Here is a 21313-nt window from a genome sequence, read left to right on the forward strand (position 1 = left end):
TCCTGCTGTCCTGCCTGCACAGTGAGGACTGGTCTGAAGTTCCTGCATCCCAAACTGTCCATGTTTTCCTTATGTTCTGGCCAAGAACAGCCAGGAGGGATTCTAACCAACTTGTTTTGGTATAAGGGCCAAATCACTGAATTCTTAAAATGAAAAAATTGGTAATCTTCTCGGTGGGGTGACTTGGATCAGTGAGTTGGGCCATTTCCCAGCCAGCCTGGGTGAACAGGAACTGGCCGACATACTGACCTTTCTCCATTCATTCATTCACCAGTCAGTTACACATTCATTCATTCATCCAGCAAGTACTCTGCGGGTGGGCTGTGAGCCCATCGCCATGTGGGTCTGCAGACCCCCGTGAATGGTAGACACGGATGCAGGCCTCAGGGAGCTGACGGTCAACTGGGCAGAAGCACAGGTCAGCAGATGCATTTCCGCCCATCTGAGGGGTCAGCACAGAGAACAGGGCCAGGACTTGAGGTCAGGGTTAGAGTCCACAGGGCCTACCCACAAAAGGCTACAAGAGGGGACAGCTGGGTAGTGCAGAGAGAAGGGCAAGGGCACGGGAAAGGCTCTGCAGGGATGTTCGGGGAGAAATGGATGCCACACGGCGCAGTGGTGCCAGTGAACGAGCACCAGCTCACCCTGGATGCAGCCTCAAGGCTGGACCGGAGCAGACAGAAGGTGGAGGTGGGGAGCCCCATTGAGGGCCCCTGTGGCCATCCCAGGGGAGCTAGGGGAGCCCCTGATGTGTAGAATTGTGAGAAAGTTGGAGGTTTCAAGAGGCACAATCACCCAGGCCTGGGACCTACTCAAGGTGGGTAGGTGGGTGTGTCTTCCAGGTTACGGCTCACGCAGAAGATGGCAGTAGGGGAATAGAGAAAGCTGTCAGCTCAGGTCTCTGGCACAGAGGGCAGCACAGCAAACGCAGGAGTTCCCAAGCCCTTAGCGTCTGTCAAATGTTACTAAATGCTATTGGCTGACAGTTGTTTTAAAGTTGAAGGCTCAGGTCCTGTGTCATCTCCTGTCTGGTCAATATCACCTCCCTCCCTGGCTTCCCAGGACTGTGAAAGTCAGCCCGCACCCAAGCCCTGTGCGTCTCGGGCCTGAGGGCTTCACGCTGCCTCTGTGATTCTGGTGACGGCATCTCTGAGGATGCACGACAGGGACTTAGGATTATTCACAATGTCTCACCTTGCTGGCTGCAATGACTGCTTCAGGGACGGACACAGGACACCGGCTACCCCTCCATCTGGCCCCGGCTGTCTGCCAGACTAACCCTGGGCACAGGTGAAAGTCAGGCTGGGCATGGTGGCTCACCCCTGTAATCCCAGCACTTTGGCAGGCTGAGGCAGCTGGATCACCTGACATCAGGAGTTGGAGACCAGCCTGGCCAACATGGCGCAACCCCATCTCTACTAAAAATACAAAACTTAGCTGAGTATGGTGGAGCATGCCTATAAGCCCAGCTACCTGGGAAGCTGAGGCAGGAGAATCGCTTGAACCTGGGAGGTGGAGGTTTCAGTGAGTCAAGATCGTGACACTGCACTCCAGCCTGGGTGACAAGAGTGAGACTCTGTCTCAAAAAAAAAAAAAAGAAAGTCAGGGCCACCGGGAGAGCTCCCAATTCCACACCTCACCCCTACTCTGCCAGCAGGGCCCAGCCACCCCCACTTTCTAGGTCAGGATGATGGGGCACAGGAGGGCAAGCAGGAGCCGCAGTCCTGGCACTGACTTGAAGCCCCTCTGCGGGCCCCACTCCAGCAGTGTCCCTGGGCGGCCAAGGCCCCTTCTGCCCATTTCATCCGCCTGAAACCCTGAACGCAGCTGCACCTCAGTTCCCATGCCAGTTTCAGGAAAACAGAGGCCACTGGGCCAAAGACGGGCTTCCCAGAGCCCCACTGGGTCCTGCCGGGGTCCAGCCCCTGCCTGTGTGGCCAGGTGGGTGCCGCTCTTTCATGCGTGCAATGGACGACGCATGGACAGGGCGGCAGCATTCATCTCCACCAACTGAACTCAAAAGCATGAGTCCTTCTTTCCTGCTGAGCTGACCCCACCCAAGCAACGTTCTTGAAGGAGAGGGTGGCCAGGACATTCCCTGGTGGGTGAGGCCAGGGCAGCCCTTGGGACTGGCTGCCACTTTGTAGAAATACATCCAGAGTTGTTCTGAACCCGGGAAGGCCAACCAGCCCCTTGGCAGCTGGGAGAGACCCAGAAGGAACAGGGATGCCCCCACCCCACACACTCCCAGAGCAGGGACTCAGGTGTCTCAGGAATGTTCTCAGGACAGTGGTCCAGCAGTGCCAGTGGACGCCACCAGAGGGCGCCCCCAGGGGCGGAGCTGGCTGAGCCTCACACCTGAGGGAGCAGAGGTGTGCAGGTGCACTGGCTCCTACCCTCCCGGACCAGCACCTTTAGGAGGATGGGAGAAGAAACACACACACACACACACACACACACACACACACACACACACACACACACACACACACACACGAAAATGAGAAGGAGGAGGCACAGGGAGGAAGGAAGAACACAGGCCAAGGGACAGGTGGACAGGTAGGCAGGAGAGACTGTGGGGGAGGATGGGGGCAGGGACAAGTGTGGGGCGTGTTCCTCTCTCTGTCTCAGAGGGACAGCCCTGCCACAGGCTCTGGCTCACCTGGGAGGGGCTTGTGCAGTGATGGGCAGCGAGGGACCCTGTGGTGTCTCCACTAACAGCCCTCACCTCCCAGCGGACACTCACCATCCACAGATCGGCCCCCTCACACCCCTTGCAGCCCCCTTCCTGTTACACCATCACTGCAACACCAGCTCCCAGGCTGGGCCCGGTGAGCTCCTTGGGGCGCTCGCCATTGTGCAAGCTGGCTCAGGGCAGCTTCGAACCAGGGTTGGCACCTCCATGCAGGAAGCAGACCCTGCCTACAGCTCTGAGCCCAGGCCAGGAGGCACTGGGTTGCTTGGTGCCAGCAGGAGTCCCGGTGGGGGCCCTGGGGAGGCTGGGAGGCCTCCCTGAACCCCATCAAGGCTGCACTTGAGGGTGTGACCTGAGGCTGGTTCTGACCACACTGCCACGCCCACTGCAGTCCTGGCCAAGGTTTCTGGGGCTTTGGGTCAGCGTTTAGGCAAATAGGTCTGGCCCAAGAGGGGTGCTGAGCATGTGCAGAGGGACAGGGGACCTGGCCAGTCGCCTCCCTGCCCAGGACAGTCGGCCTCCTCCTACCTGGCCATCTCTGCTTCCCCTGCTTCTTAGCCCACACAGGCCTCTGCCACCGGGACAATAACACCTGATACCCTGTGCTCCCTGCCCCATGGCAGCCAGCGGGGTCTTTCTACACTGTCCACAATAAGGATGAAGATGAAGACGACCCTAAGAGTGGCCGACGTTTCTGCAGAACCGAAGACTGTCTATGAGCAGCTGTGGATGTCAGTGCAGGCCAGGTGCTGAAAGCCACTTAATCCACCCAGCACACTCGGGAGGGGGTGAAAGTCATCAGCCCCACTTTACACAGGAGAAAACAGAGGCACAGAACCAGCAAGTGACTTGCCCAAGGTCAGCTGGCGGGTGGGTAGAGCCAGGTAGCCCTGGCGGTCAGCACTGCTTGGGGGATGTTCAGCACCGGTTGCTCAGCATGGGCTGATGGGCAGCTGCTCCACCCTTCAGACAGGAGGAAGTGGGGAGGGCTTTCCCCTCCACGGCAGGGAGAGCACGCTGTCACTTATGCTTCTGATGGTAACCAGAAAGAGCTCTGGGTCACCCAGGGCCCCCAGAGGCTGGGAGCTAGCAGCCTCCCTGAAAGTGGCCCGTTAGTGCCACATGGCCAGGGCCCGTTGCCCTAGGAAAGAGCTGGTTTTTCAGGAATAGTAAGGCAGGCGCACAAGGCATGGGGCTGAGCTTTGAGCTTCGAGGATGAACAAGGAGCAGAGGGGCTCAGCCACCTCCTGGAGCCTCCAAAAGGCCCTGGGTTGGGTTGCACAGTCCTGTGATCCACCATCCAGCATCACCAGGGCTGGCCGAATGAGCGTTTCCCTATCTCAATAAAGGCCACTTCCACAATGGGGCCTCGGTCCACAGCCAGGAAGCAGACAGCTCTAGCCAGGCCCCCCTCCCCTGGCTGTACCTTGTTTGCAGGACATTCAGACCAAGTGTGCTCAGGGCACCAGCCTTTGCACCCCGGCTATGTCACCTGAATGTCCCTGCGCCCAGCATGGGCCTGGGTAACTGCTCCATAAGCAAACAATGTGCAGTGAACTGGCTCCCTTCTGTGCCTCTCACCGTGCAAAGACACTTCTGCCCCCCGAATGCATATGGCCCTATGCAGGGACAGAACACAACAGTGGCACCTGCATGCCCCACCCTCATCCCAGGGGACCTCAAAAAGATGCCTGGAGAAGCATGCCTGCCTCCAACTCTCCATCCCACCTGGTCGCCTCGAAGGCAAATGCTCACCACTGCTGTCCCATAGGAGGGGACGTCAGTGCCACTGGCAGGTCCTAGTTAGGACACGGGTCTTAAGGGAAGGACCTCTCAGCTCATCAGTGCCCATCCAGAGGGTTCCTCCTACAGCACAGCTATTGCTACCATTGAGGATGCTGAATCCTGGACAGATGGATATGGACAGGGAGGCTGTGAAGGGGTGGGGAAAGGGAAGATGGAACAAGGCCAAGAAAGAAGGGACTGACGGGTCAGGGCCACCAGGTAAGAGCAGTGCCCCTCGACTTGGGACAGGCAGTGGCCCACAGTTAGGGGGACTGGCTGTCCTGATTTTAGCACTGAAAGTCCCACATCACAGGCAAACCTGAATGGTTGGTCACTCTACCAACGGTTCTAGGTGACAAAGGGGACAGTCTTGGCCGAGCTCTGGGTCTTGGGTTGGACATGGACCTGGGCTCTAAGAACCAATGTGGAATGCGCACTGGCTGGACAAGGTGCTGTGGGAGGCGGCCACCCTGAACGCCTTCAGCTGATCTTGAGAAAAACCTGAAGTTGGTCTTTCTGGGACCCTTTTTTGAGATGGAGTCTCGCTCTGTCACTCAGGCCGGAGTGCAGTGGTGCCATCTCAGCTCACTGCAACCTCCGCCTCCCAGGTTAGAGCGATTCTCCTGTCTCAGTCTCCTGAGTAGCTGGGATTACAGGCATGCGCCACCACATTCAACTAATTTTTGTATTTTTAGTAGAGATGGGGTTTCACCATGTTAGCCAGGCTGGTCTCAAACTCCTGACCTCAAGTGATCTGCCTGCCTTGGTCTCCCAAAGTGCTAGGATTACAGGTGTGAGCTACCGCACCTGGTCCCTTGTTTTATAATTGACAAAGATTAGGCAGATTGGGTTTTACCTGCCCAAGGTTATGCAGCTATACAATGGTACAGTACAGAAGCGTGTATGCAGGAGGCCAGGCAATGAGCATTTGAGGCAGGCTGGCCACCATGATGACCACACACACACACATACACAATGATTCTCTCTCTAACATGCACGCGCATGTCTACACACCAGCATGCACACAGGCAAATGCACACAGACCAAAAAAACACAAAAATGCATGCACATACATACACAGGCATACACAAACACATACACACATGCACACACACATGTGCATTCTGTCCCCCGTTCCTCACACATGAACAGGGAAACAGGGATGGTCAGACCGCAGCTGCAATACACCCGGCTGCTTCTCTCTTTCCCGAGCCACATCTAGCACATCTAGTCTGCAGCCAGCTCAAGTCCCTGGCCACGCTGCCTTTGCTGTCTTATTAGATTTTGTACTGGGTGAAGGGGACACACTCTTTTTAAAACTGTAGTCAGAAGTCTTGCTAAGTGTGTGAAGTGGAATTGGCTGCCTCGGGGGAGCCCTTTAATTTAGCTTCCCATTGTTCTCAGCACCTGGGACTCCTCCCTTGGGGTCCTTCCAAGCAGGAATCTAGACCAGAAGCAGCTGGACCTCCTTGTTTGGCTCTGGTGGGAAGCGTCTGTGGGCTAAAGGCCAAAGCGTTGAGAGGACGTGGGGTCTGCCAGCTCTAAGAGGATCAGGCCTCGACCCTGTCTAGGGGCCGGGAGAAGTGGGCTCTCACCGGCATGTTCTCCCCACAAACTCCTTGGCTGTGGCCCCAAAGCCTGGGCTGCTGGTCATAGTCAGGGTGATCAGCCCCTCCTGGGACCACGTGAGGCACTGACCCTCCTCAAACTCACACGGAGCTTGCCAGGTGGAGCCCCTGGGGGCAGGGGTGGTGGCGGTCTTCCTCCCTGACATCCCTGACCTTAGCTGGCAACAGAGCATGACCCAGGCCTGCAAGACTCCCCGCAGCCAGGCTCTGGACCCCGAGTGGCTTTGAGGCCAGGGAGGAAACAGGAAGCATGTAGGATGGGGGCGAGGGTCAGGGGCCTCAGCACTGAATGCCGACATCACCAAAAACATGGCAACGGCCGGGGAAGCACGGGTCCAAGGCCCAAATCTGAGGGAGTGCCAAGTCACCAGATGCCAGAGCCAGGGGCCTGTGCCGAGTCCTGCCCTTGCTACGTTCTGGCTGTGTGACCTCGGGCTCCTCATAGAGGCGTCTGCAGCAAAGAAGCCAGCACAGTGAACTCCTGGAGCAGCTGTACCCATGAGAATGTGGAGGCATCGGTGGCAACGGCCACTGCCCCTGCAGGTGCAGCTTTCGTGGCTGGAACCGACACCAACCCTAGCACCTGGGGCCCCGACAATGAGCTGATCCCTGGGAAGTCTCTTCCTCGACTGAAAATTCTGGGAGGTGGCGTGAGAAAGGCAGAGACCTGCTTGGGAGTTGGAGCTCTGAGTGCAAATCCAGCTCCCCTGGCTGCTTGGGAGGCAGGAGGGTGGGGAGAGACCCAGACCTGGAGTTGGACGCCGAATGGGGTGCTGGGCAGGAGACCACAGGCAGTTCCCAAAGTCTGCCCTATGCTGCCCATGTCCTTGTCTAGGAAATGGAACGAGGCACAGGCTCCTGTCACCTGGGGCTGCTTCAGAGACTGACAGACATGCCCTCTGTGCTCCTGCCATGCTGGACCCAGGCCTGCAAGTGCTCCCCTGAGGGTTAGCGCTACCTGAGACCATCCCTGCAGCTGCTGAGACAGCCAGACGCCAGAGCCCTGAGCCGGCCTCTCCGGCCCCCAGCATTCTCCTCTGGGCTGGGTTTCTCCCTGCCACCCACGTGTGCACCCTCAATTTGGATAAGGTGTGTTTGCAGGCTTGCAAACATGGCCCTCGGGAGGGCACACACCCCTGACCAGGCTTGCAGCCCTGCCTCTCTCCCTCTTGACATTTCACTTAGGACCAAGAAGTCAGTACACAAGGAAAGGAAACAGGACCCGAGAGGCCAGCAGTATCCCCAGTCCACCCCAGGATGCTCAGCTCAGCCTGCACACCTGCCCCGAGCTTTCATCGTGTGCCTCCATGAGGCTCGGGAAGGTGACCCCAGCCCCCCAAGGGGAGACCGTGCCAGCAGGGACAGTGAGCAAAACTCAGGCATGAAAGTTTCCTCAACATCTGGGTTGGAATAAAATGGGCTTCCTGCTCAACTTCTGGGCCACCCCAAGTTGGAGGAGCTGGGACCCCCAGCACGTGGCGGTCTTCCTTCCCTTGGCGTCTGCCACTCCTTACCCGACATGCCAGAGAGGCTGCGGCCTCTTGCCGTCCTCGCCTGCGCCGCCCAGCCTGTTGAGCGATGGGGACCGGCTGCGGGGCCCGGGCACGTAGCTCCCAATGGTCTTCGCGGCCCCCTCGGGCTTGCTGGGCATCTGCTGCAGCAGCTGGGGTGACAGGCTGCGGTGCGAGGTGGCCGTGGAGCAGACGGCCCAGTCGGGAGCGCTGGCATTGAGGTTGTTGTCACTGTTGGAGCGCAGCAGGACCCGGGGGGCGGCCAGCGTGTTGGGGGGCCGCCGCCGGCGGTTGGAGTACGCCGGGGCCTCTCGGAAGGGCACTGGGGAGAAGGACATGGAGAGAGGCCGGTGAGTGCATCTGTGTCGTGGTCAGCTGGGTGGGGACCCTAGGGAGGTGCAGGCCTGCGTGCGTCCAAGCCCCCATGCGAGCCCAGCAGAGGGGAGCTGTGAGTTCTGGGCCGAGACCCCAGCTGGACTCCACCAGGCCCAGAACTCACCCCTGACATGGAAGCAGAGAGACAGGCTGGGGACGGAGAACATCTCCACGGCACGGAGCTCAAGCCAGTACTTCGCATGGAAGGGACGTGGGGTCTGAGCTTCCATCTGGCCTGGGAGACGTCCGGCTGGCTTGGGCATGTGTAAGGACGGGCCACCCCATCACACAAAGCAGAGAGGGCACTGAGCTGCCTGCCGCAAGATGCCTCCTCCCCACAACCTAAGTTGAGCCTCTGGGGTGGGCTGAACTGTGTCCCCCAAGTTCGTGTGTTGACGTCCTAAACCCCAGTTTTCAAAATGTGCCAATATTTGCAGGTAAGGTCTTTACAGAGATCATCTGGGTGGAGGGCCATTAGTGGGGGCCCTGATCCCATAGGATTGGGGTCCTTATAAGAAGAGGCGATGAGGACACAGACACACACACAGGGATGACCCCGTGAGGACACAGGGAGAAGGTGGCACCTGCAAGCCATCAAGAGAGGCCTCAGGAGGAACCAGCCCTGCGATGCCCTGATCTCAGACTTGTAGTCCCCAGGACTGGGAGGTGTAAATATCTGGTTGTTTTGTTGTTGTTGTTGTTGTTTTTGAGACAGGGTTTCGCCCTGTCACCCAGGCTACAGTGCAGTGGCACGACCTCGGCTCACTGCAGCCTCCGCCTCCCAGGCTCAAACAATTCTCCTGCCTCAGGCTCCCAAGTAGCTGGGATTACAGGTGCCCGCCACCACGCCTGCTAATTTTTGTATTTTTAGTAGAGATGAGGTTTCACCATGTTGGCCAGGCTGGTCTCGAACTCCCGATCTTGTGATCCGCCTGCCTCAGCCACCCAAAGTACTGAGATTACAGGCATGAGCCACCGTGCCCGGCCAATATCTGGAGTTTAAGCCACCTGTCTGTGGCGCTCTGCCACGCCTGAGCCAACCATACAGTCTCCGAGTCCACTGGCTGGATGATTCAATCTCAGTCCTCACTAAGAAGGTGCCTTCCTCCCTCCCATCAAGTGGGGACTGTGTGAGGAAGCAGGGGCTGGGCACCCCTTATCTGGCATCCTACAAAGCTCTAGACAGGGCCAGGCCCTCACTCTCCTCACTCAATGAGACCAGGGGCTCAGAATGACAGCAACAGCCCCTGGGAGCTTTGAGGGGTGGCAGCCACGCCGCAGCTGCCTTGGTTTACCCAGAGCTCCAGAGCCTAAGACAGCGAGTGCCCTTTCCAAGAAAGAAGACCTCCTGAAAGGCAGCCCTCCAAGCTCCGCAGGAAACAGCAGAAACCACCATCACTGGGGGGCCAAAGGCACGGGCTTCTCCCCGGCCCGTGATAATCGTGCCTGCAGCAGCTTTTCACTGGCTACAGGATTCAGCCCTTAGGCTGAAGCCACGCTTGGCTCCGAAGTTTCCACTGCACAGGACCAGGGCTACCATCTGACAAACTGCAAGGCAAGAGAAAACACGTGTCCTCCCTGGGATTGGGTCTGGGGGAACCTTCATGCCTCAGAGGAGAAGAACGTCACAAGTAGTTTAGGACACAGGTGGCAGTGACGAAGCTCTTGGGGACATGGATGGTGCTGGCAGAACTCAAGGGGGATAGAGGTGGTGCTGGCAGAGGTCACAGGGACAAAGATGGCACTGGCAGAGTTCATAGGGGACAGAGGTGGAGTTGGCAGAGTTCATGAGGGACAGAGGTGGCGCTGGAAGAGTTCACGGGGGACAGAGGTGGCGCTGGCAGAGTTCACGGGGGACAGAGGTGGCACTGGCAGAGTTCACGGGGGACAGAGGTGGCACTGGCAGAGCTCATGGGGGACAGAGGTGGCGTTGGCAGAGCCCATGGGGGACAGAGGTGGCGCTGGCAGAGGTCATGGGGGACAGAGGTGGCGCTGGCAGAGGTCATGGGGGACAGAGGTGGCGCTGGCAGAGGTCATGGGGGACAGAGGTGGCGCTGGCAGAGCTCATAGGGGACAGAGGTGGCGCTGGCAGAGCTCATGGGGGTCAGAGGTGGCGTTGGCAGAGGTCACGGGGGGCAGAGGTGGCACTGGCAGAGGTCACGGGGGACAGAGGTGGCACTGGCAGAGGTCACGGGGGACAGAGGTGGCACTGGCAGAGGTCACGGGGGACAGAGGTGGCGCTGGCAGAGCCCATGGGGGACAGAGGTGATGTTGGCAGAGTTCATGGGGGACAGGTGGCGTTGGCAGAGCCCACGGGGGACAGAGGTGGCGCTGGCAGAGCTCACGGGGGACAGAGGTGGCGCTGGCAGAGCTCACGGGGGACAGAGGTGGCGCTGGCAGAGCTCACGGGGGACAGAGGTGGCGCTGGCAGAGCTCACGGGGGACAGAGGTGGCGCTGGCAGAGCTCACGGGGGACAGAGGTGGCGCTGGCAGAGTTCACGGGGGACAGAGGTGGCGCTGGCAGAGTTCACGGGGGACAGAGGTGGCGCTGGCAGAGTTCATGGGGGACAGAGGTGGCGGTGGCAGAGTTAATGGGGGACAGAGGTGGTGTTGGCAGAACTCATGGGGGACAGAGGTGGCACTGGCAGAGTTCATAGGGGACAGAGGTGGCGTTGGCAGAACTCGGGGGACAGAGGTGTCATTGGCAGAGGTCATAGGGGACAGAGGTGGCGTTGGCAGAGTTCACGGGGGACAGAGGTGGCATTGGCAGAACTCATGAGGGACAGAGGTGGCGCTGGCAGAGTTCATGAGGGACAGAGGTGGCGCTGGCAGCGTTCACGGGGGACAGAGGTGGCGTTGGCAGCGTTCACGGGGGACAGAGGTGGCGTTGGCAGCATTCACGGGGGACAGAGGTGGCATTGGCAGAACTCATGAGGGACAGAGGTGGCGCTGGCAGAACTCATGAGGGACAGAGGTGGTGTTAGTAGAGCTCATGAGGGACAGAGGTGGCGTTGGCAGCGTTCATGGGGGACAGAGGTGGCGTTGGCAGCATTCATGGGGGGCAGAGGTGGCGGTGGCCGAGTTCATGAGGGACAGAGGTGGCGTTGACAGAGCTCCTGGGGGACAGAGGTGGCACTGGCAAAGCACATGAGGACAAAGGTGGTGCTGGTAGATTTCACTGAGGACAAAGGTGGCACTAGCAGAGCTCACAGGTACAGAGGTGGTATTGACAGCTCCCAAGGACAGAGGTGGTGCTGGCAGCGCTCACAAGGGACACATGTGGTGCTGGCAGGTTTCATTGAAGACAAAGATGGCATTGGCAGGGCTCACAGGACAGAGGTGGCGTTGATGGAGCTCCTGAGGGCAGAGGAGGTGCTGGCAGAGCTCATGGGGGATGGAGGGTGCTGGCAGAGCTCACGGGAGACAGTTGTGACCCGGCGCACCTTCCCCACCTCCCCAGGACACAGGGCAGCCCTGGAGACAGAGCTAGAGCCAAGCCTGGGGAGCCGCACAGAGCTGCGCAAAGCGTCCTGAGGTTGGATACTTGGACTTGACACACTTGGACGTCAGTGCCTGCTGTCGGTAAGAACCTGGAGGTGGTACATTGGGGAGGTCGCGGTGTCACACCTGCTCTGATCTGGTTCCTCTGTGAAGCCTTTCTGTCATTGAAGATGCCCTGCTAAGCAGCCGGGGCTCCTCAGCCAGCACTTTCATCCCACTCCTAATTTCTCAAAGCACACGGATCCATGAACGCCACCCAGGCTGGCCGGGGAGAGACAAGGAACGGAAAAAGCTGACGGCACTCTCCGTGGACATCTCTCCTTCCAGAGCCCCTCGAGGGGCTTGGCCTGGGATCCACAGCCACCACCCACGAGAAAAACCTCATCCCTGGGACAGGTCACCGAGTCTGTTTTGTTGGTCTTGAGGGAAAACCATGTTGGTGCCCTCCCTCTGGACCGGCAGAGACTAAAAAAAACCTTGTAGATCACTGAGTGTTTGCATGGAGGCTTACAAAGATACGACTGGCCCAGAGGGCTTCCGGGTGATCCGGGAACTGCCTGTCATTGGAGGGGGCTGGGCGGGTGGATTAAAAGACCTTGCAAAGGGCTGATGAGCCCACAGTCTCAGAGAGCGATTATCTTTCATTTACAGAGATTACGTGTTGGAAGACTGTATTGGTGTGAGAGCCAAAATCTCAAACAGACACAGCCAGCAGAAAGCAGCCGCAGAGCCCCCAGCTTCCTGGGGCACCCCAGGAGAGGCCACGGCTCTCCCTACCCATGTGGAGGAGACATCACAGGGCCCCCAGTCACGGAAACGCTGCCTCCCACAGCCGACTGCCTCACGCCCAGCTTCCCCGCCCCGACAATGCAGCCAATTCTCTTTTTCTGACCCTTGTAACTGGGGGAGGTATGCATACTCTTCATAGCAAGTGATGGCATTTGGGGGAGTCCTGGCAGTTGCTAAGATAAACTCATTAGGAAAAAAAAAGTCTATAAAAGAACAGAACAGATACAGAATTAACCTAACACCAAAACCCCCAACTGAAATTTTCATGCTGTTCATGGATTATAAAAATTGAAACCCCAGAAGGTGAATTTTGGTGAATAATGTCAGAAAATGGGCACAGACAAAGGTTGTTATTTATATACATTCCTAAGACTCTGTCAGAAGAGTATGGACTTAGAGGGGGGAAGAATTCACATGGGGAGGCCACCCTTGGAGGATTAAGGAATAAAAGAGCTGGGACATTTTCAAATACATTTTTACTCTGTAGACCACGCAAGTTACTCAAATGAAATCTCACCGGTGACATCAGTGTGAACATTTTAATGAAAATTACCTCGCGTAATTACCAAGATTCATATTAAATTAGTTTCCTGAGTACTGAAATTTCTTTGGTGTTTATTTTGCAACGAGCTGGGGCTGGGAAGTACCTTCCTCATTTCTCTAAAGTCATACCTTTTTATGATATCTGATTTCCTAAAATGAGAGCTCTCTGACAAAACTCTCTAACTGGAACCATCCATGGAAATGATGATTTTTTTTTGTGAAAAGGGTTAAAAATAACTGTTTTCTGTCTGAAAATGATTAATATTCCACCCAACTGTTTCCTTCTTTTAGGCAATCTGCACTCTAAATAGGTGGATATTTTCTTAGCTGGCTTACATGCATTTATTTATACATTTTTTTCCCCACAATAAAAATTACACAAGGTATGACAAACAGAGTGTGCACTTTTAAAGTTGGCCACGCTCCCTTCCCATCCATTCCATGTAACTGCAACCCCGGGATGGGAGAGCCGGGAGCAGCTCGGAAGGTAGCCACCCATTTGGTGCAGCCAGCCATGTGCCCCGACCTGCCTCGGCCAGTGCCTAGCAGCCCTCTGGTCACTGAGGACTATAGTCAAAACTTCCTTTATTTTCCCTAGGACTTAGTTCCTAACACACTCCGTGGCACGGTCCCCACGGATGGCCATTCCGGAATGGAGTTCCACAAGGGCTGAAGGTTTGAAAGCAGCACACGATAAGGCGAGACCTTCCACCGCGTTATATTCCGGACCAACTCAAACCAAACCGTATCCCAAACCAAAGTCATTATCCCCTGACATGCTAGGGATTAACAACTGGCAATTTTAGGAGGAACTGGAGTCCTCCCTCTCCCCCACCCCGAGAATCAGCAAGCAGCTGCTAATTCCCATGCACCCGGCTCCCGACAGCTTTTTCCTTACCTTCCTTCTTGGTGAAGGCATTTAACAAAGACTTCATTTTCCCTCTGACTTTGGCAGCGGTCCGCTCATTATATAACCTTCCTGGATGGGAGGAAGGACAGGCGTGCAGCCCGGCCCCTCGGTGCTAGAGCAGCTGGGACCCGGGGAGAGGTGGCGGGTGTCTGGGCACGGTGCACTTCCGAGCATAGCTGGGCATGCCAGACCCAGCGTGCTGGTGACAAAGCCCACCCCATATTCTGTCTGTCAGCTGGGAACCAACTGCACGTAGACGGGCTGCTCTCAAACCCGGCTACCTCTCGCGGCGCGCGTCATGTGAGCCGGGCTACTCTGCTTTTGTGCTCAGGGCATTGAGGAAGAGGCACCGCGGAGGGTTAACGCGGATCAGGCGTCCTCGAGCTGGCAGCTGGGAGACGCCGGGAGGCATGAGTGAGCTCGAGCCCCAGTTATCCAAGGAAACTCGGGCTGGTGCTGGGCGCTCCATGCGCCTGTGCCTAAATATACTGCACTGTGCTTTTCTATTTTTTTAAAAAAAAATTTTTTTAAAGAAAAAGCCAAGTTTGTTTGTCAGCTAGCAGATGTGGTAAGACAGACAAGGGGGAGGGAAGCGTACAAGTACCAGATAAGCTTCACACCAGACCCACGTTCCCCGGGCAGACATGGCCAGCATTCTGGAATTTCTGAACACGACCTATATTTCTGTTCAAAAGAATCAGACACAAGTGCCCATGACTTCTCTGGCTCCCCACCCATCGAGGTAATTACCCTGGAAAAAACAGGACTCCACCCCCTCCTACTTTTTTTTTTTTTTTTTTAAAGAGAGAGATAAAAAGACAATTAAACTGAGACCCTGCCAAGGATGGCCCCGATTCCAGGCAGCTGATAAAAGCGAGCTCTTCAGGGTCACTTTAGGCATTTCCTCAGCATTTCCAACCCAACAGAAGAAGAGAAAAGAGGAAAGCTGCCCCTTGGAAGCCCTACATGGAGAAAGTCAGATTTATAAAGCAAACACAGAGAAGTGGATGCAGGCTGGTGCCCTGTGGCAGGTGGACAGTGAGTTATTTCTACACCAGGAGAAGGAGCTTCCTGAAGCTACGTGGAGCATCCAGGGGCAAGGTTCTGTTGCCGGATGCCTCTGCTGGGCTGTAATTTAGTGTGCTGTGTGTGTGTGTGTGTTTTTTTTTTTTTTTTTTCTGGTTGCTAAGAGAACTGCTTCAGAAATTTAAAACACACACACACACACACACACACACACACACACACACAACCAGAGAAAGACGAGACAAGACGAGGAAAAAGCAACCAGAGCACTAAAGTTTAATTCCATATGGTTGACACACTTTGTGTCAATAAAAATGGCGGTGTGAGAACAAGAAGGCTGGGGGCCCCCCAGGAGCCTTTCCCTGAAGGCGTACCAGGGACGGGACTGCGGCATGCCTCGGTGAGGGCCTCTGGCTTTAGGGAGAGCAGAGACTGCCACAGAATCACTGAGTGTACGCCCTATATCAGCTGAGCACCCGAACAGCATCTCTTGGCCGGGTGCGGTGGCTCACGCCTGTAATCCCAGTGCTTCGGAAGGTGGAGGCGGTTGAATTGCTTGAGCCCAGGAATTTGAGACCAGCCTGGGCAACACAGTGAGACCCCGTTTCCATGAAAAATAATTTAAAAACATTAGCCGGGTGTGGTCGTGCGCCTGTGGTCCCAGCTACTCAGGAGGCTGAGGCAGGAGGATTGCTTGAGCCTAGAAGTTCAATGCTCCAATGAGCTATGATTGCACCACTGCACATCAGCCTGGGGATAGAGCAAGACTGTCTCCAAAAACAAACAAAAAACCCCACAAAAACCCAGAAATAACGATAAACTTCATCTCTTATTTAACTCACACAACTCATGAGCCATGTCAAAACTCTGCCGGGGTGACATTCTCACCCTACCATGCATCACCGACTCATAAAACTGAGTCAAAGCCATTTCTAAGACTTGCATTAAGAAACGGTTCTGAGGTCAGAGCCACCAGTGTGTCCCACAGAGTTCATGCACCTCCTCGGACACTCTGAGCAAGGCTGAACAGCTTCCAGAAGAACCCTCCTCGGATGCACAAAGCTTTCCCCCACTTCGGGAGGCCTGACGATGTGTCCTCCGGGTGGACCAGCCAGGGGGGCCAGAAGCTTTCCAGATGGTGAGTGTCTAGTTCATTGCCATGTGCTGGCCTGGCTGCCTGCCCTGGCTGGCGAGCGCTGGGAGGCTGAGACGGGGATGCCACCGTGTCCGTATTGGTGTGTACAGGGAGCTCCTCCAAGGCTGGGGGACCCGGCTGGTCGTGTGCTCAGCCACGTGAGCCCAGAGGACTCATCAAAGCGCAGGGAACTCTCGGGGAGACTCAGTGACGCTCAACACCCCCTCCATCTGTCACTGATCGATTCCCTCCCAAAAGCACAGAGCCTCATCCCAAGCCAAGTTTCTGAGCCAATCACTGCTCCGGCGCTGCTGCCTCTGCGGCCTGCCATGGTGTGGGGAGAGCCTGCACGTTTCTGGGCTGGTGAGGCCAGGATGGCCCTTGGCCTGAGGCCAGCGGTGTCCTGTCATCTTTGGCTGCCTTGCCGGCCACGGAAGACCTTGGGTGGAGGGTGTAAGGAAGAAGCCACCTCCCTGGGACCATGTGACAATCCTGCATCTGTTCTGACTGGTGGACCAGGCAGGGGACAAAATGGAGCCTTTTTCCCCTCACGGGGGCCTCCAATGTCAAATATGTCAAAGGACCAAGAAGAGGCCCTGCCCCATCTAAACCAGAGAAAAACCCAGAACCTCTGGACGGGAGCCACGCAGCAGCACTCACAGCTGGCCCAGAAAGGACCCTCAGCGGCCACCGTCCGGTGCGTGTGCAGCAGCTGCTCCTGGAGGTGCATTTGCCCACAAGCAGGAGCCCAGGCAGGGGTTCCATGAACCCTGGGCTGCCCAGGGAGAAGGGAAGGAGCCTTCCCAAGACAAGGCCCCGTCACCAGGAATACGGCTGGCTTCCACCCCTGGGGTCCCTCTGCCCCGCCCACCCCCACCCCTGCACCCCATGTCCCATCTGGTTTGGGGGCATGCGCAGAAGACAGCCAGCCAGATCTGAAGACCCAGGCCTGCTTCTCAGCCTGTGCAGGGGTGAGGGGCGGGGCAGGATGAGGCTTTGGACACAAGACGATTTGAGGAATCCAGGGAACACCCCCAGGCTAAAGGATCCCTTTTCCAGACACCTTCAATTCTTTCAATAAGCAGACAACTTTTCCCGCCCACACTCGGAGGAGGCTGAGTAAACCATTCACAAAGATCAGGAGCGGTGGTGGCTCCATCAGTCTCATGCACACACCTACTGAGTGCCCGGTCCTGGGCCAGGCTCTGCCACACGGGGTCTTCTGGTCAACCCCACAGAAATCCTGCCAAGGGAGTTGGGCCATTCTTGACACCACTGTCCTGGCCATGTGGTAGGCTCTCCGTGGATAATTCCAGCGACGGGGGACTCACTACCTTTGCACAGGGGTTCTCACTGTCAGACGCGGGCAGCAGCCTGTAAGAGCCTCCTTCCCCCACACCCACCACTTGCCCCCTTCCCTGGTGGGTGCAGACCACTTCCTCATTTGCCAAGAAGTCTGGCGCTGAAGGCACAGACTCTGCCCCGACAAACGCAAACCTTTGTGCAGCCTCCAGGGCAGTTTTCATCTGGTGTCCCCATCCCTGCCTTTCTGGGGGAATATTTATCTTCCAGCCCTGGGATGTGGCCATGGGAACATCAGCATTCCTCCTGCCCCTCGTTTTATGAGCATGTCCGTGGCCTGAAGCCTGCCCTGCCTGCCTGGCTGGGAGGGAAGTTCTGTGTGGACAAATGTTCCGTGTGAGTGTTTGGGGTCCGGGCCCTCCCAGAAATCCACACTTGGGGTTATTGCAGGAGACGAGCTCACCCCTGAGCCCCAGGTAGATGGTTCGCATTCTCCTGCCATCTGCACACAGGCCCGGCCCTTCACCCTCCAAGCCACGGAGACCCAGAAACCTGCCACCGACCAGGTGACCTTGGAGAGCTGGGGAAGCAGAGGCGGGTGCACAGCCTCCCGCAGAACTCCGGGAATTCGCTAGCGCCCTTCCCATCTCTAAAACAAGTATTCCGAGGATGACCGAGCGCTAGTGGTTGAGATGAAAATTAAGACAAAGATAAAAGATGAAACTTAAAAACCCATTTTCCCTGGAGGCTTCCAGAGATCTTCTTCTCTGAGAAAAGCCTCAGGCTTTGGGAATGTCCCCGTGGAGCTGCCATCCTGGGTCCCTGAGACCAGCAGCAAGGCTGTCAGATGAGACAGACGAGGTTCAGAGAGGCTGAGCGCTAAGCTGCCCAGGGCCTGGGAAGGGTCAGACATCCCTGCTGCACCCACATAGGTTTCCACGCATTGGAGCCCAAATGCCCACAGCATGGCTGAGCACTCCCTTCCTTCTGCCTTTAGACCCACTGTTCCTATAGGGGTCCTGCGTGGAGGGCCTACAACGACCCTGGAGGCTTGTGCCGGCCACATTCCTACTGAATGCAGATGAGGTTTTATTTCAAATGGATTTCATTCTGGAAGAGGGAGAGATTGGAGGGGAAGAACTTCCAGGTGTGAGTTGGGCTGGGGGCAGGCGGGTAGCAGAGAGGGTGGCAATGTGAGTGGTTGGTGATGAAGCTATCCACCTGCCTGCCTGCCCGCACACCCACCCGTCCCAAAACTCAGGCAAGCACCTTTTGAGTCTGTTTGTTGCCTGCCCGCACGCCCACCCATCTCAAAACGCAGGCGAGCACCTTTTGAGTCTGTTTGTTGTCCATGGACAGATGAAAAACCAGGAGGAAAGAGGAGAGGGAGGCTCTGAAGTCAGAGTTTCCAGAAAGGAAAAGGGTCACCCCCAAATGAACCCCAAACTCTCAGCCACCCAACCTGGCTCTTCAGACACCAACTCAGCTCCACTCAGCCCAGTTCCAGTGCCTGGCCCTTGGTGCTTCGTGAGCCAGTGACATCCAAAGCCCCGTGCCCCCTTGCCTCCCTCCCTGCAGCCCCTGCCCACAGGCATCCCACAGACTCACCCCATACACTGCACCACCCCCTCAAACCCTGAGACTCACTAAGCCCTTTATTTGCCATGTCTTTTGACAACTGCCTGACAACGGACTGAAAATAATTTCACTTCTTGCATAAAAAAAAAGCTCTTCACACATCAGAACATTTCAAGGTGCTCTGAAGTCCTGGCGGGGACGCCGTACCAGGTGTTATAAACATGCCAGCAAGACTCAGAGGTGCTCACGGGTCTCAGAAACATCCTCGTTCAGTGGCGATCAGACGCCCGCCTCCACTTGCTGTGGCTTCAGTGCCCATGTGGTTTGGAAAGAGCCGGACGTGGGAGTCAAGACGCAGGTTTGGGTGCTGACTCTGTATCATGCCCCCTGCAGCCATGGGCCGGTTGGACACCCCCTGACCCTCAGTTTCCCCATCTGTAAAGTAGGAATAGCACAACTTACCCCACAGGGTGGAGCCACCCGAGCTCGTGTTTGAAGCACAAAGGAGAGGGGCTTGGTGCACGCAACACCGTGGGGACACCTTTGGGGACAAGTCTCAGCTCTGTGAGCCCAGAGAAGTCCCATGAGCTCTCTGTGCCTCTGTTTCCTAGTCTGTTTAATGGGGATATTAATGGTGCCACTTCACAGGAGAGTCATAAGGATAAAGTAAGTTAATATTTGTAACAGTAGTACCTGGAGGCAGTGTCGGTGATCCCTGAATGAATACATTTAAGTTTTAAAAAATCTGTAAGTGGATAGCAAGGCAATCCTCCTGCTTTGCCCTATCTCTATAATAAACAAGTCCTGGTCTATTGCTCACGATGCATTCACATTATCCTTCTGGGTGCTGCCTCCTCCAGGAAGTCTCCCTGACTGATCCAGGCAGCAGACAGACCACTCCTAAGGGCTCCCGTGGCAGCAGTCAGCCCTTGGGGCATGTTGTGGAGCCAGGAGCCTCCCAGCTTCTCAAAGGCAGGTTCCGTGTCCAGCCCTCCTCCCTGCCCTGCACACTGGCAGTGATCCCTAGTGCTCTGGAGATGAATGAATGAATGAATGGAGTGAATTAACAGAGGGGGTGAGTCCTAGCTTTTTTTCTGAGTGTTCCAGAGCACTTTACTAGGTTCACCAGGCTGCTCTCTAGTTGTGCTGCTCTCCTGAGGCCAGAAGCCACCTTCCTTGTCCAACTCCCACCCTACCCCCACCCCCTCTTCTGCCCAGGGCCTTGCATGTACCCAGTGGAGGCCCAGGGAGGCTTGGGCTAAGCCACAGCCACGCTACCAGCTGCCCCAGACCCTGAGAAGGCCTGTACTGCCCCGCCTTGCCCCACGAGCAGGTGCAGCCAGGACAGCATCCTTAGCGTCCTCACTGCATCTGCAGAGCAGCTAGGCTGTTGTCCTCAGCATCCTCACTGCATCTGCAGAGTGGCTGAGCCAGTGTCCTCAGCATCCTCACTGCATCTGCAGAGCAGCCTGGCCAGCGTCCTCAGCGTCCTCACTGCATTTGGAGTTCCCTGCACCCCATGTCCTGCCTGGAAACAGTGAGGGCTCATCCCTCAGCTTCCCCAGCTGCTGTGGTTTCGAGTTCGAGCCCATCAGACACATGGGCCAGGAAGGCACTGATGCAGAAGGAGCAACTCACAGAAGCCGGCGAGTGTGGCACGGGGCTCCAGCACAATGTCAAGCTCCTGCCAGCGCCTCTGACTGTGCACAGCACCAGGTATTCCATGCAGCCCACCTGTGGCTAGACGCCCCGACTGGCCACCCCGGCTGGCCGCAGTTCCCAGGCCTGGCTCTCCAGCCCTCTTGGAGCACAGTGACCGCCTGACATCTGTCAGAGTCTTCTGCCTCCTGCATCAACAAGCCAGGGTGGACTCTACTGCTGGTGACCCAGACCCTGACCGGTAGAGCCCGTGAGGCTGGGTCTCGGGCAAGAGAGCTGGGCATGCGACATCTCTCAGGGAGGCCTCTGGTCCAGGGACCCTGACAGCATCTCTGCAACATCTGCAGCTGGACTTTCTGGGTTCAAATCCCACAAGGTAACTGTCCATGAGTCACAAAATGTCCCTGGACTCTGGATCCCCAAAAACAAAGCAAGCACAGTGATGATGGTCACTTCAAGGAGCTGCTCAGGGGGTTAAGTGCATACTGGGTGCAGTACTTACGCACAGTGGGTGCTCAACAGAGGTTAGCTGTTGCCATCACGACCACGACTGAAGTTTGTTTATTATTGCTGACTGTTCATTATTGTGATTATTACAACAGCTTGTTGACGAGGGAGGTCCTGACAGGCATTCTCAGTCTCTCTGGGCAGCTCAGGTGGCTGCAGGCAGTGGAAGGCCATCAGGCCGCTAGAGACAGGGTCCTGACCCAGGCCAGGACAGTGTTGTCTCCCCAGGACACTGCTTCTGTGTAACTCAGACCCAGGCCCTTCTGCCAGGAAGGAGCTCCAAGTTGATGAAGGCACAAGGGCCAGCTTTGAGCGTCACCTTCAACTTAAACCCTGGGCAAAACCCTGAGTGTGATCACAACCAAACCA

The 21313-nt window shown here is 56.6% G+C and overlaps 1 protein-coding gene across 23 annotated transcripts in view; it reads right to left on the reverse strand.

Moving 5' to 3' along the window:
• SHANK2 (SH3 and multiple ankyrin repeat domains 2) overlaps window positions 1-21313 on the reverse strand; it is a 785381-nt gene that overhangs the window by 344888 nt on the left and 419180 nt on the right. For 20 of the 23 annotated variants that reach the window (NM_001441030.1, NM_001441032.1, NM_001441037.1 and 17 more), the window contains one exon: window positions 7623-7941. In NM_001441030.1, coding sequence (NP_001427959.1) covers window positions 7623-7941 — 319 coding nt within the window. Of the gene's footprint in view, window positions 1-7622; window positions 7942-13725; window positions 14154-21313 lie in introns of those variants that run through there. The other 3 variants (NM_001441041.1, NM_001441040.1, NM_001379226.1) reach the window with 1 other exon arrangement.

Source organism: Homo sapiens, chromosome 11 (assembly GCF_000001405.40).
Source record: "Homo sapiens chromosome 11, GRCh38.p14 Primary Assembly".
NCBI classification, from domain to species: Eukaryota; Metazoa; Chordata; class Mammalia; order Primates; family Hominidae; genus Homo; species Homo sapiens.